The sequence below is a fragment of the Homo sapiens genome, chromosome 2 (assembly GCF_000001405.40).
Source record: "Homo sapiens chromosome 2, GRCh38.p14 Primary Assembly".
Taxonomy (NCBI): Eukaryota; Metazoa; Chordata; class Mammalia; order Primates; family Hominidae; genus Homo; species Homo sapiens.
The window spans coordinates 172,266,601-172,279,907 of record NC_000002.12 but is presented as its reverse complement, the minus strand read 5'-3'; the positions used below and the strand labels follow the sequence as shown (position 1 = coordinate 172,279,907).

Here is a 13,307-nt window from a genome sequence, read left to right as displayed (position 1 = left end):
TTAGTAGAATGCAGAATCAGGATTAGAACCAGACTTTTTATCTGAAACCTTGAAGCCTTACCACAACACCTCTTTGGAAAAGAACTTCCACTACCTCCTTACAGAAATTTATATTTCCTGTTAATCCTCCAAAAAGGTATTTCATTTTCATCCTTATGTGTAATTTTGCAATTAAATGACTATCTTCTGTTCAGGAGTTTTAGGGATTTTAGAAAGGACCCATCCCCAAACTCTGCTCCCAATTGCTGTCCCCCGTGCCCAGACCAATCAGAGAGGACTTTGCCATTAGACACCCTTTGAGTTAAAACATAAAAGCTCCTTCCTCTCAAAATGTATATGTATACTTAGAAGTAGAAACTCAATGAGGAAGCTATTCTTCATCATTAAGAACTTAACAAGAATGTATATTTCAAAAGCACTAACACCGCAGGATTCCTGGGGGGAAGGCGTTGTAGTGGTGCTGGCAGGGTCTGTTTTGTTATGGAGGTGGGGCAGACACAGACGGTCCCAGGCAACCAGAAGGCAGCAGTGCTGTAGCCATTTCCACCTCCATTCTACCTAGCACACTATAGTTATTAAAAACTAATCAGGCCAGTGCAGTGGCTCAGGCCTATAATCCCAGCACTTTGGGAGGCCGAGGTGGGTAGATCGCTTGAGCTTAGGCATTTGAGACCAGCCTGGACAATGTGGCAAATCTTGTCTCTGCAAAAAATACAAAAATTAGCTGGGCTTGGTGGCGCATGCCTGCAGTCCCAGCTAGTCGGGAGGCTGAGGTGGGAGGATCGCTTGAGCCCAGGGGGCCAAAGCTGCAGTGAGCCAAGACTGTACACTGTACTCCAGCATGGATGACAGAACCAGACCCTGTTTCAAAAAAAAAAAAAAAAAAAAAAAAACGCTAATCGGTTAGTTCCTGGTACAAAACTTCTCCTGGCCATTAAGCTGGCACCACTGAATCCAGTATTTCAGGGGACTACATACAAGCAGTCCCAGTGGGGACTTTCCATCCTTGCAGATGTCATCACCGACACCAGCCTGAGCTCCCTGTCTCCCTTTGCCATGATTTATGGGGAGAAAGCTGAGGTTTAAGGCAGAAGTTTAATTGGCGGTCCACGAAACTGCTTGAAATTTGTTGCAGGAGTAAGATGAGACTGCAATTCTTAAGGGAGACAGTCAAATACTAAAGGGATTTATGAGCTCCCCAAAAGTTTAAGAACCACCGTTGTAGAAGAAAAGCACTGAAATAAAATTAGTACAAGTCTCAGAGGGAGGCTGATACCAAAAACATAGTCAAGTGATGTCAGGTGGTGCGTGTGTAGGTATGTGGATAAGAAAAAGTTTGTTACGTTTAAGTGGTGTGCAATGTTTTTAACTTGCTAGATAATCAGTTAAGAAATTCTGGTTTTTATTAAATCATTAAAATAATTAGTTAATATTTTCTCTCTTGACATGCCTATATTATATACATAATACTAGAGGATTCATCAGACTTCCATTTTTAACTTACTAGATCGTTTTATTTTTAATAATACAACTGAATGAGAATCCTATTTTTGGCTCCAAGTCAGACTATAAACAGAAAATATTGAGCTGCAGAGAAATCACCTTACCACAGTTTCATTTTGACCTTCTATTCCACAGCCATTTGTTTAATACATTTTGCTTTGTGTTTAGAAGTGCATTATTTATTATCTGAATTAAGCTGTAATTTGTTTCCATTAATACAAAAAAACGCTCTGCCAACTCAACCAGCTTCTTGTATCAATGAAAATCATGATCTCATTAGGAGTTGCTTTAAGAAAAAATGCAGCTTTTTCTTTTTTTTTTTTTTTTTTTTTTCCTGAGACAGAATTTTGCTCTTGTTGCCCAGGCTGGAGTGCAATGGCGCAGTCTCAGCTCACCGCAACCTCCACCTCCCAGGTTCAAGCAATTCTCTTGCCTCAGCCTCCCAAGTAGCTGGGATTACAGGCATACACCACCACGCCCTACTAATTTTGTATTTTTAGTAGAGACAAGGTTTCTCCATGTTGGTCAGGCTGGTCTCAAACTCTTGACCTCAGGGGATCCGCCCACCTCGGCCTCCCAAAGTGCTGGGATTACAGGCATGAGCCACTGTGCCCGGTCAGCTTTTTCTTAAGAAAGCAGCTTCTCTGCCCGACCTTCATCTTGCTTCCTTAACCCATCTCCCTCTGGATATGCCAAAATGCTTCCATCTCATACTTCTGTCCTGTTGGGTCCTTCCAATCCTTGACCCACCACCCCACAAACCTAATTTGGGCACCTGAGTCAGGGCTTTCCAGTTTGTGTCTTTGAGAGAAAGGATCTGCCCTTAGCTTGAGAGAAACTGTAACCTGGAACAACACGCCCTTTAATAGGGATGTTTGTTCAGCGTTGGTTGCACATTCATCCAAACCCACTGCACAGCTCCCTTGAGCACCACCTCTTGAGAGGGTTTGTTAGACTTATTGCAAATAAATGGACAAAGTTTTCAAGAGGTAGCATTTCTTAATTTCCCAAATGGTTGGGTTTGGGGTTTGGTTATTTGAGGCTTGTTTATTCTTTTTTATTTCTACAAAGATGATTGCCCCTCTCTGCCCCTCTCCAGCCTTCCTGACCACAGCAGACCATGTGATGATGTGAAAGCAGTTAAGCCCAAAATGCTTGACATCATTCCCATATTTGGGGACTTTCCCACCCTAGAGGTTCTTACCTCCCCACAGCTGAAACCAGAAAACTGACTTTCCCTGATTCCCTTGCAGCTAGACCTCACCATGTGACCCAGGCTCTGCCAATCAGATAGTCTAACAAACAGCTTCATTTGGAATTGAGGCCATGAGCAAGCCAACTGTGCAGAATCCATTTGCTAGAAAGGGTGGCAGTAGTGTGTCCAGATCCTAGGGGCAACAATGGCATGAGCTGTGCTGAGGGGGTCTAGACTTGGAGGCAGCTGCAGAGACCCTTTCTGACTCACTCCCAGGGTGTGGTTGGTTTGAGCCTTGTTCTGACCTGCTGGCCTACAAGCCTGACTTTCTGGCCCTCTAGAAATTTTGAAAGTATCTTCATATCCTCTAATAAACTCCTTTTTCTGCTGAAACGACTGCAAATGGGTTTTGGTTTTGGTAACAGATCCTTGATGGATACAATGCCCACGAAGACCTGCATGGTCTCCAGCCAGCCTGCTTCTCCTATTGGACCTGTTAGTGTTCTTCCCCTCTTACTGGGCCCTCGTCTTCTCCCCCAAGGAGTTAAGTTCTCTCCTGCCTCAGCCTTCGCAGGTGCTGTTTCTCAGCTGGGAATGTTCTGCCCCTGCTCCAACCCTGGCTCCCTCCTGAACTCCAAACACAGCTCAAAACTGACTGGGTTAAGTCTTCCCAATACACCCTCCTGGCATCCTAGACTAGCCCTGCTTGGTACTCATCACAGTTGAAATTAAATACTTAGTTGGTTAGTGATTTTCTCTCTGAAGAGACTGTAATAATCAAAATAATAACATTTATTGCACTCTTTCCAAATGCCAGGAAGACTTCTAAGCACTTTACATGGATCACCTCATTCCATCTTCACTAAAACCCTAACGAAAGTATTATTATAAAACCTATTTTACACATGGAGAAACTTAGACCGAGCACTTAAGAAACAAATCCTAGGCCACACAAAAAGTATGGGCTGGAGCCAACATCAGAACCCAGAAAATCTCACACTAGATCACACTCTTAATACCATCTGTCATCTCTACAGTGGGTGCCTGCATCCCAGAACTTGTGTAAAATAAGTTATTGGAAGGTGAGAAGAAAATATTAGAAACTTATATAGATATATACATTTGTAACTCCTCTGGATTAATTTATTTTGCCTGTTCATTTTGTAATGTACACAAATCATTTTACTTGATGTGCATAACATAGCAATATATTACATAATTTATAAATAAAAAACAGAGTAGTTCAGCTCAATGTTTTTCCTATAGGGATGTAAAATGACTAATGTTTGGAGACTACTGCTCTCAACTATGAGCTTTGTGAAAGCAGGACTGTCACTCACAGCACCTCAGCAGCTAGCACAGAAGCCTGACACATAGCTACTACCTGATAAATATGTGTTGGCTGAATACTGTCCCTTCTAACACTGGGAATGCCAGCACCAAAAGAAAGAATGCTCCAATGTCCACTACATAAGTTCGTTCAGGTTCCCGATATTTCTGTGTCTGTGATGACTTCCTTTCTTGCTCCTTCTCAGATTCTGAATCCGAGACATGATGTTTTCACCCATGCTTGTAGACTCGCCGCTCCCAGCAGAGAATAATGTTCATTTGAGCAAGAGGCAGCAGCAGCCCCCAGGCAGCCTGTGGTTCCTGGATTATTTTGCACTGACCCGCTGTCATTGCTAGTGAAGCATAGGTAGGGGATTGCTGGTGCAAGGTGCAGCTCAGGGACGTGCAAAGCCACTTGTGGAAACTCTGCCCACCCCTGTTCCTCTTTCTGCCTCTTTTGACCTGCCTAACTAATTTGAGCTCCCCATTTCTCTGCAGATACAAAGACTCCTGAAGGCTTGGGAGGGAGCGAGGACATGGCTGAGCAAGGAAGAAAGGGAAGGGGACAACAGGATTTTTATGAAGGAGTGAAAAGGAAGGACAATTTGAGAACATGACCTGTCTTCCTTCTCTGACATGGAGGCTGGTGAAAGTGAATCATCACTGAACAAATTCTTGCTAAGTTAAAAACAAATTAAAATCGCCATCTAATGTGGGTAAAGAGATGCAACTAGCTAACTGCGTGGGTGTGGATTTCCCACATGGCCCCTGAAAGCACTGCTTTGGACAGGGCTCCTACCCCATAAAGCTTATTTTTCAGTCATTTTTAGAACTTGCATCAGTTCAACTGTTTTTAGATAGGTTTGTGGGTTGTTTTTTCTTTAAAAGTCTACACAAAGCAGCCTGTGGAAATGTCAGAGGCATGTGAACCAGAACAACTCCATCTTTAATAGGAGCTGGGTAAAGTGAGGCTGACACCTACTGGGCTGCATTCCCAGGTGGTTAAGGCATTCTAAGTCACAGGATGAGATAGGAGGTCAGCACAAAGTACAGGTCATGAAGACCTTGCTGATAAAACAGGTTGCAGTTAAGGAGCTGGCCAAAACCCACCAAAACCAAAATAGTGACGAGAGTGACCTCTGGGCAGCCTCACTGTTACACTCCCACCAGCGCCATGACAGTTTAAAAAATGCCATAGCAACGTCAGGAGCCCTATGTGGTCTAAATAGGGGAGGCATGAATAATCCATCCCTTGTGTAGCATATCATCAAGAAATAACCATAAAAATGGGCAACCAGCAGCTCTCGAGGCTGCTATGTCTATGGAATAGCCATTCTTTTATTCTTTTACTTTCTTAATAAACTTGCTTTCCCTTTGCACTGCAGACTCGCCCTGAATTCTCTCTTGCACAAGATCCAAGAACCCTCTCTTGGGGTCTGGATCGGGAACCTTTTCCTGTAACAGAAACATCAGACCTAACCACCAAAGAACATTCCGGTTAGAGGTTTACAGGTCAGGGAGCTGAGCCATGTGAAGACGCCAGCAGCTGTATTTGCAGGCACAGGTGTGGCCCTTTGCAGGGCAGCCACAGAAGGTCAGCCTGACCTGTGGAAACCATTCCTGGGGCTAACAGAGACCCATGGACCAGTCTCCCACTGGCAGACTCGCTATCAGTCTTTCTTGTTAGACCTCCACCACCTTAATGCCCATGTGGGTGGCATGGGGGATGCAAACAGCAGATGGGCTCAGTCTATTGTGCTGCACTCTCTAGACAGGAAGTGGCAATTAACTGCTGCAGAGTGGGACTGGTTGTTGATAAAGGCCCCTCCTACAGCTGTATCCATTCTGTGTTCAAAAACAAATGAACTACCCCATCCACGTCTTCTTTGAGGAGACAGCTCTGAAGCTGGCCTCCTCCAAGGGGCCACCTGCCAGACTCTTCAGAGGCACAGTTCTCCTTTATTTAAGGCATATGAAATTTGATGGAAACATTCAATACATATTTAAATTTTTATTTTTAATTGACAAATTATATATATATTCATGGGGTACAATGCAATGTTTTGATATATGTATACATTATGGAATGAGTAAATCAAACTAATTAGCATCTCCATCACCTCATCTGCTTAGCATTTTTTTATGGTGGGAACATTTAAAATCTACTGTCTTAGCAATTTTGAAAAATACAATTCATTATTATTAACTATAGTTATCATGCTTAATACATTTTTAAAGCTAAAGATATCTTGAAATCATTGTTAAAGTGACCATACTGTCCAAAGCAATCTACAGATTCAATGCAATCCCTAACAAATTACCAACATCATTTTTCACAGAATTAGAAAAAAGAATCCTCAGCCGGGCGCGGTGGCTCACGCCTGTAATCCCAGCACTTTGGGAGGCCGAGACAGGCAGATCACGAGGTCAGGAGATTGAGACCATCCTGGCTAACATGGTGAAACCCCGTCTCTACTAAAAATACAAAAAGAATTAGCTGGGCGTGGTGGTGGGCGCCTGTAGTCCCAGCTACTCAGGAGGCTGAGGCAGGAGAATGGCATGAACTCGGGAGGCTGAGCTTGCAGTGAGCTGAGATTGCACCACTACACTCCAGCCTGGGCAAGAGAGTGAGACTCCGTCTCAAAAAAAAAAAAAAAGAAAGAAAAAGGAATCCTCATATTCATATGGAAACAAAAAAGAACTCAAATAGCTCCTAAGCAATCCTAAGAAAAAGGAGTAAAGCTGGAGGCATCAAATTACCTGATTTCAAATTATATTACAAGGTTATAGTAACCAAAACAGCATGGTACTGGTATAAGAATAGACACATAGATCAATGGAACAGAACAGAGAACCCAGAAATAAAGCCACATACCTACAACCAACTGATCTTCGACAAAGTCAACAAAAATATACACTGGAAAAAGGACACCCTATTCAACAGATGTTGCTAGGAAGATTGGATAGCCATATGCAGAAGAATGAAACCGGACCCATACCTCTCACCATAGACAAAAATTAACTCTAGAAGAATTTAAGGCCCAAAACTAAAATTCCCAGACAAAAGCTTAGGAAAAACTCTTCTGGACATTGGCTCTAGGCAAAGAATTTATGACTAAGTCCTCAAAAGCAAACACAACAAAAACAAAAATAGGCAAATGAGACTTAATTAAATTAAAAAGCTTCCGCACAGCAAAAGAAGCAATCAGCAGAATAAACAGACAACCTACAAAATGGGAAAAAATATTTGCAAACTATGCATCCAACAAAGGGCTAATATCCAGAATCTACAAGGAACTCAACAAGAAAAAACAAATAGCACCACTAAAAGGTGGGCAGAGGACATGAACATTTTTCAAAAGAAGGCATATAAGCAGCCAACAAACATGAAGAAATGCTCAACATCGCTAATCATCAGAGAAATGCAAATTAAAACCACAATAAGATACCATATTACACCAGTCAGAATGACTATCATTAAGAAGTTGAAAAAACAACAGATGTTGGTAAAGATGCAGAGAAATAGGAACTTTTACTCTCTTTGTGGGAATGTAAATTAGTACAACCTTTATGTAAAACAGTACGGAGACTTCTCAAAGAACTAAAAATAGAACCACTATTCTATTCAGCAATCCCAATACTGGGTATATACCCAAAGGGGGAAATATCATTATATCAAAAAGATTCTGCACTTGTATGTTTATCACAGCACTATTCACAATAGTAAAGATATGGAATCAATCTAAGTATCCACCAATGGAGGACCGAATTTTAAAAATGTGGTATATACTCATATTCTCACTTATAAGTGAGAGCTAAACAATGAGAACATATGGACACAGGGAGGGAAACACCACATACTGGGGCCTATCAGGGGTTGGGGGAGAGGGAGCATCAGGATAAACAGCTAATGCATGCAGGGTGCTTAATACCTAGGTGATGGGTTGATAGGTGCACAAACCACCATGGCACACGTTTACCTATGTAACAAACCTACACATCCTGCACATGTATTATTATTCCACATGAGTGGAATAATAGACACTGGAGACTCCAAAAAGGAGGAGGGCAGGAGAAATGTAAGAAATCTGCACATGTAAGAAATCTAGCTGGGTGCGGTGGCTCAGGCCTGTAATCCCAGCACTTTGGGAGGCCAAGGCGGGCAGATCACAAGGTCAGGAGATCATCCTGGCTAACACGGTGAAACCCCGTCTCTACTAAAAATACAAAAATTGCTGGGCATGGTGGCATACGCCTGTAGTCCCAGGTACTCTGGACGCTGAGGCAGGAGAATCACTGCAACCCGGGAGGAGGAGTTTGCAGTGAGCCAAGATCGCGCCACTGCACTCCAGCCTGGGCAACAGAGCGAGACTCTGTCTCAGGGAAAAAAAAAAAAAAAAGAAAAAAGAAAAAAAAGAAATCTGCCATTATACTCACTAAATCTATAAAAATTAAAAATAAATCTTAAAAAGGTATCTTGAAAAACACTTTATAAAATACATTTTAAAAATATTTTCTCTACAAATATGTACTTGATATTCACATTTATTGCTATTGTTTGAATCTGCCCCAAAATTCTTGGGTGGAAATGTAATCCCCATTTGGTGGTGTTAAGAGAAGGGCTTCTGGGAAGTGATTAAGTCATCATGATATAGGAGTTAAAAAGAAATTATTTAGGCAGATAGTGAGGGTAAGGAAGTCCTCAGTAAGGTTTTCCTTTTAATGAAAAGTGCCCCCAAATCATTTTCTTTTCTAACAAAGAGCAGCCTGTAAAATTGAGCTGTAGACATAAACAAGGAAACTGGAAGCTTGCACAAGTGAATGCCCGTGGTTGTGCCAATAGAAGAAAAATGCTATCTGGGACTAGGCATGATCAAAATGGTGGCTCTAACTTCTCTTTGCCAGCCACATGTACAGTAAGGAGCAGACAAGGTGGCACCAGCCAAGTGGAAAGCCCATTTGCATCATAAGATTAGGGTGGGGATGACCGGCCTTCCCTGCTCCATATATAAACATTCCCAGATGGCTGAATAGGAGCAGCTCAGGTCTGCAGCTCCCAGCATGATCAACACAGAAGATGAGTGATTTCTGCATTTCCAACTGAGGTAACTGGTTCATCTCACTGAGACTGGTTGGACAGTGGGTGCAGCCCACGGAGGGCAAGCAGAAGCAGTGTGGGGCGTCACCTCACCCGGGAAGCACAGGGGTTGGGGGATTTCCCTTTCCTAGTCAAGGGAAGCCGTGACAGACTACACCTGGAAAATTGGTACACTCCCACAAATACTGGGCTTTTCCCATGGTCTTAGCAACCAGCAGACCAGGAGATTCTCTCCCGTGCCTGGCTTGGCAAGTCCCACATCCACGGAGCCTTGCTCACTGCTAGTGCAGCACTCTGAGATCAACCTGTGAGGCTGCAGCCTGGTGGGGGGAGGGGCATCCACCACTGCTGAGGCTTGAGTAGGTAAACAAAGTGGCCAGGAAGCTCAAACTCGGCAGAGCCCGCCACAGCTCAGCAAGGCCTACAGCCTCTATAGACTCCACTTCTGTGGGCAGGGCACAGCTGAACAAAAGGCAGCAGACAACTTCTGCAGACTTAAACGTCCCTGTCTGACAGCTCTGAAAAGAGCAGTGGTTCTCCCAGCACAGGTGTTTGAGCTCTGAGAATGGACAGACTGCCTCCTCAAGTGGGTCCCTGACCCCCATGTAGCCTAACTGGGAGACACCTCCCAGTAGGGGCCGACAGACACCTAATACAGGTGGGTGCCCCTCTGGAATGAAGCTTCCAGAGGAAGAATCAGGCAGCAATATTTGCTGTTCTGCAATATTTGCTGATCTGCAATATTTGCAATTCTGCAGCCTCCACTGGTGATACCCAGGCAAACAGGGTCTGGAGTGGACCTCCAGCAAACTCCAACAGACCTGCAGCTGAAAGTCCTGACTGTTAGAAGGAAAACTAACAGAAAGGAACAGCATCAACACCAACAAAAAGGACAGCCACACCAAAACCCCATCTGTAGGTCACTATCATCAAAGACCAAAGGTAGATAAAATCACAAAGATGGGGAGAAGCCAGAGCAGAAAAGCTGAAAATTATAAAAACCAGAACGCCTCTTCTCTTCCAAAGGATTGCAGCTCCTCGCCAGCAACAGAACAAAGCTGGACAGAAAATGACGAGTTGACAGAAATAGGCTTCAGAGGTCAGTAATAACAAACTTCTCCGAGCTAAAGGAGCATATTTTAACCCATAACAAGGAAGCTAAAAATCTTCAAAAAAGGTTAGATGAATGGCTAACTAGAATAAACAGTGTAAAGAAGACCTTAAATGACCTGATGGAGCTGAAAACTATGGCACGAGAACTTCGTGACACATGCACAAGCTTCAATAGCTGATTTGATCAAATGGAAGAAAGGATATCAGTGATTGAAGATCAAATTAATGAAATAAAGTCAGAGGACAAGATTAGAGAAAAAAAGAGTAAAAAGAAATAAACAAAGCCTCCAAGAAATATGGGACTATGTGAAAATACCAAATCTACATTTGATTGGTGTACCTGAAAGTGATGGGGAGAATGGAATCAAGTTGGAAAACACTCTTCAGGGTATTATCCAGGAGAACTTCCCCAACCTAGCAAGGCAGGCCAACATTCAAATCCAGGTAATACAGAGAACACCACAAAGACACTCCTCAAGAAGAGCAACTCCAAGACACATAATTGTCAGATTGACCAAAGTTGAGATGAAGGAAAAAATGTTAAGGGCAGCCAGAAAGGTCAGGTTGCCTAAAAAGGGAAGCCCATCAGACTAACAGCAGATCTCCCAGCAGTAACCCCACAAGCCAGAAGAGAGTGGGGGCCAATATTCAACGTTCTGAAAGGAAAGAATTTTCAACCCAGAATTTCATATCCAGCCAAACTAAGCTTCATAAGTGAAGGAGAAATAAAATCCTTTACAGACAAGCAAATGCTGAGAGATTTTGTCACCACCAGGCCTGCCTTACAAGAGCTCCTGAAGGAAGCACTAAACATGGAAGGGAAAAACCAGTACCAGCCACTGCAAAAACATGCCAAATGGTAAAGAACATCAATACTATTAAGAAACTGCATTAATTAATGGGCAAAATAACCAGCTAACATCATAATGACAGGATCAAATTCAAACATAACAATATTAACCTTAAATGTAAATGGGCTAAATGCCCCCATTAAAAGACACAGACTGGCAAATTGGATAAAGAGTCAAGACCCATCAATGTGCTATACTCAGGAGACCCATCTCATGTGCAGAAATACACATAGGCTCAAAATAAAGGAATGCAGGAAGATCTATCAAACAAATGGAAAGCAAAAAAAAGCAGGGGTTGCAATCCTAGTCTCTGATAAAACAGACTTTAAACCAACAAAGATCAAAAGAGACAAAGGCCATTACATAATGGTAAAGGGATCAATTCAACAAGAAGAGCTAACTATCCTAAATATATATGCACCCAATACAGGAGCACCCAGATGCATAAAGCAAGTCCTTAGAGACCTACAAAAAGAGACTTAGACTCCCACACAATGATAATGGGAGACTTTAACACCCCACTGTTAATATTAGATCAATGAGAAACAAGGTTAACAAGAATATCCAGGACTTGAACTCAGCTCTGCACCAAGCGGACCTAATAGACATCTACAGAACTCTCCACCCCAAATCAACAGAATATTCATTCTTCTCAGCACCACATCACACTTATTCTAAAACTGACCACATAATTGGAAGTAAAGCACTCCTCAGCAAATGTAAAGGAACAGAAATCACAACAAACTGTCCCTCAGACCACAGTGCAATCAAATTAGAACTCAGGATTAAGAAACTCACTCAAAACCACACAAGTACCTGGAAACTGAACAACCTGCTCCTGAATGACTACTGGGTACATAATAAAATGAAGGCAGAAATAAAGACGTTTTCTTGAAACCAATGAGAACAAAGACACAACATACCAGAATCTCTGGGACACATTTAAAGCAGTGGTTAGAGGGAAATTTATAGCACTAAATGCCCACAAGAGAAAGCAGGTAAGATCTAAAATTGACACCCTAACATCTCAATTAAAAGAACTAGAGAAGCCAGAGCAAACACATTCAGAAGCTAGCAGAAGGCAAGAAATAACTAAGATCAGAGCAGAACTGAAGGAGATAGAGACACAAAAAACCCTTCAAAAAAATCAATGAATCCAGAAGCTGATTTTTTGAAAAGATCAACAAAATTGATAGACCACTAGCAAGATTAATAAAGGAGAAAAAAGAGAAGAATCAAATAGACACAATAAAAAATGATAAAGGTGATATCACCACCAATCCCACAGAAATACAAACTACTATCAGAGAATACTATAAACACCTCCACGCAAATAAACTAGAACATCTAGAAGAAATGGATAAATGCCTGGACACATACACCCCCCAAGACTAAGCCAGGAAGAAGTTGAATCTCTGAATAGACTAATAACAGGCTCTGAAATTGAGGCAATAATTAATAGCCTACCAACCAAAAAAAGTCCAGGACAAGATGGGTTCACAGCCGAATTCTACCAGAGGTACAAAGAGGAGCTGGCACCATTCCTTCTGAAACTATTCCAATCAACAGAAAAAGAGGGAATCCTCCCTAACTCATTTTATGAGGCCAGCAACATCCTGATACCAAAGCCTGGCAGAGACACAACAAAAAAAGAGAATTTTAGACCAATATCCCTGATGAACATTGATGCAAAAATCCTCAATAAAATACTGGCAAACCGAATCCAGCAGCACATCAAAAAGCTTATCCACCATGATCAAGTTGGCTTCATCCCTGGGATGCAAGGCTGGTTCAACATATACAAATCAATAAACATAATCCATCACATAAACAGAACCAATGACAAAAAACACATGATCATCTCAATAGATGCAGAAAAGGCCTTCGACAAAATTCAACAGCCCTTCATGCTAAAAACTCTCAATAAACTAGGTATTGATGGAACGTATTTCAAAATAATAAAAGCTATCTATGATAAACCCGCAGCCAATATCATACTGAATGGGCAAAAACTGGAAGCATTCCCTTTGAAAACCAGCACAAGACAAGGATGCCCTCTCTCACCACTCCTATTCAACATAGTGTTGGAAGTTCTGGCCAGGGCAATCAGGCAAGAGAAAGAAATAAAGGGTATTTGATTAGGAAAAGAGGTAGCCAAATTGTTCCTGTTTGCAGATGACATGATTGTATATTTAGAAAACCCCATCCTCTCAGCCCA

The 13,307-nt window shown here is 42.3% G+C and overlaps 1 long non-coding RNA gene across 2 annotated transcripts in view, besides 1 other annotated feature; it reads right to left on the bottom strand.

The window, feature by feature from the left end:
• The window catches only part of LOC107985960 (uncharacterized), a 119,748-nt gene that overhangs the window by 90,266 nt on the left and 16,175 nt on the right, over positions 1-13,307 (bottom strand). The gene's annotated exons all lie outside the window — the stretch shown is intronic.
• Positions 9,388-9,961: an enhancer, noted in NCBI's record as "H3K27ac-H3K4me1 hESC enhancer chr2:173134675-173135248 (GRCh37/hg19 assembly coordinates)". NCBI's record gives its function as "activates a minimal SCP1, AML or CMV promoter by ChIP-STARR-seq in naive H9 embryonic stem cells {active_cell/tissue: H9 hESC(naive)}" and the evidence as "EXISTENCE:reporter gene assay evidence [ECO:0000049][PMID:30033119]".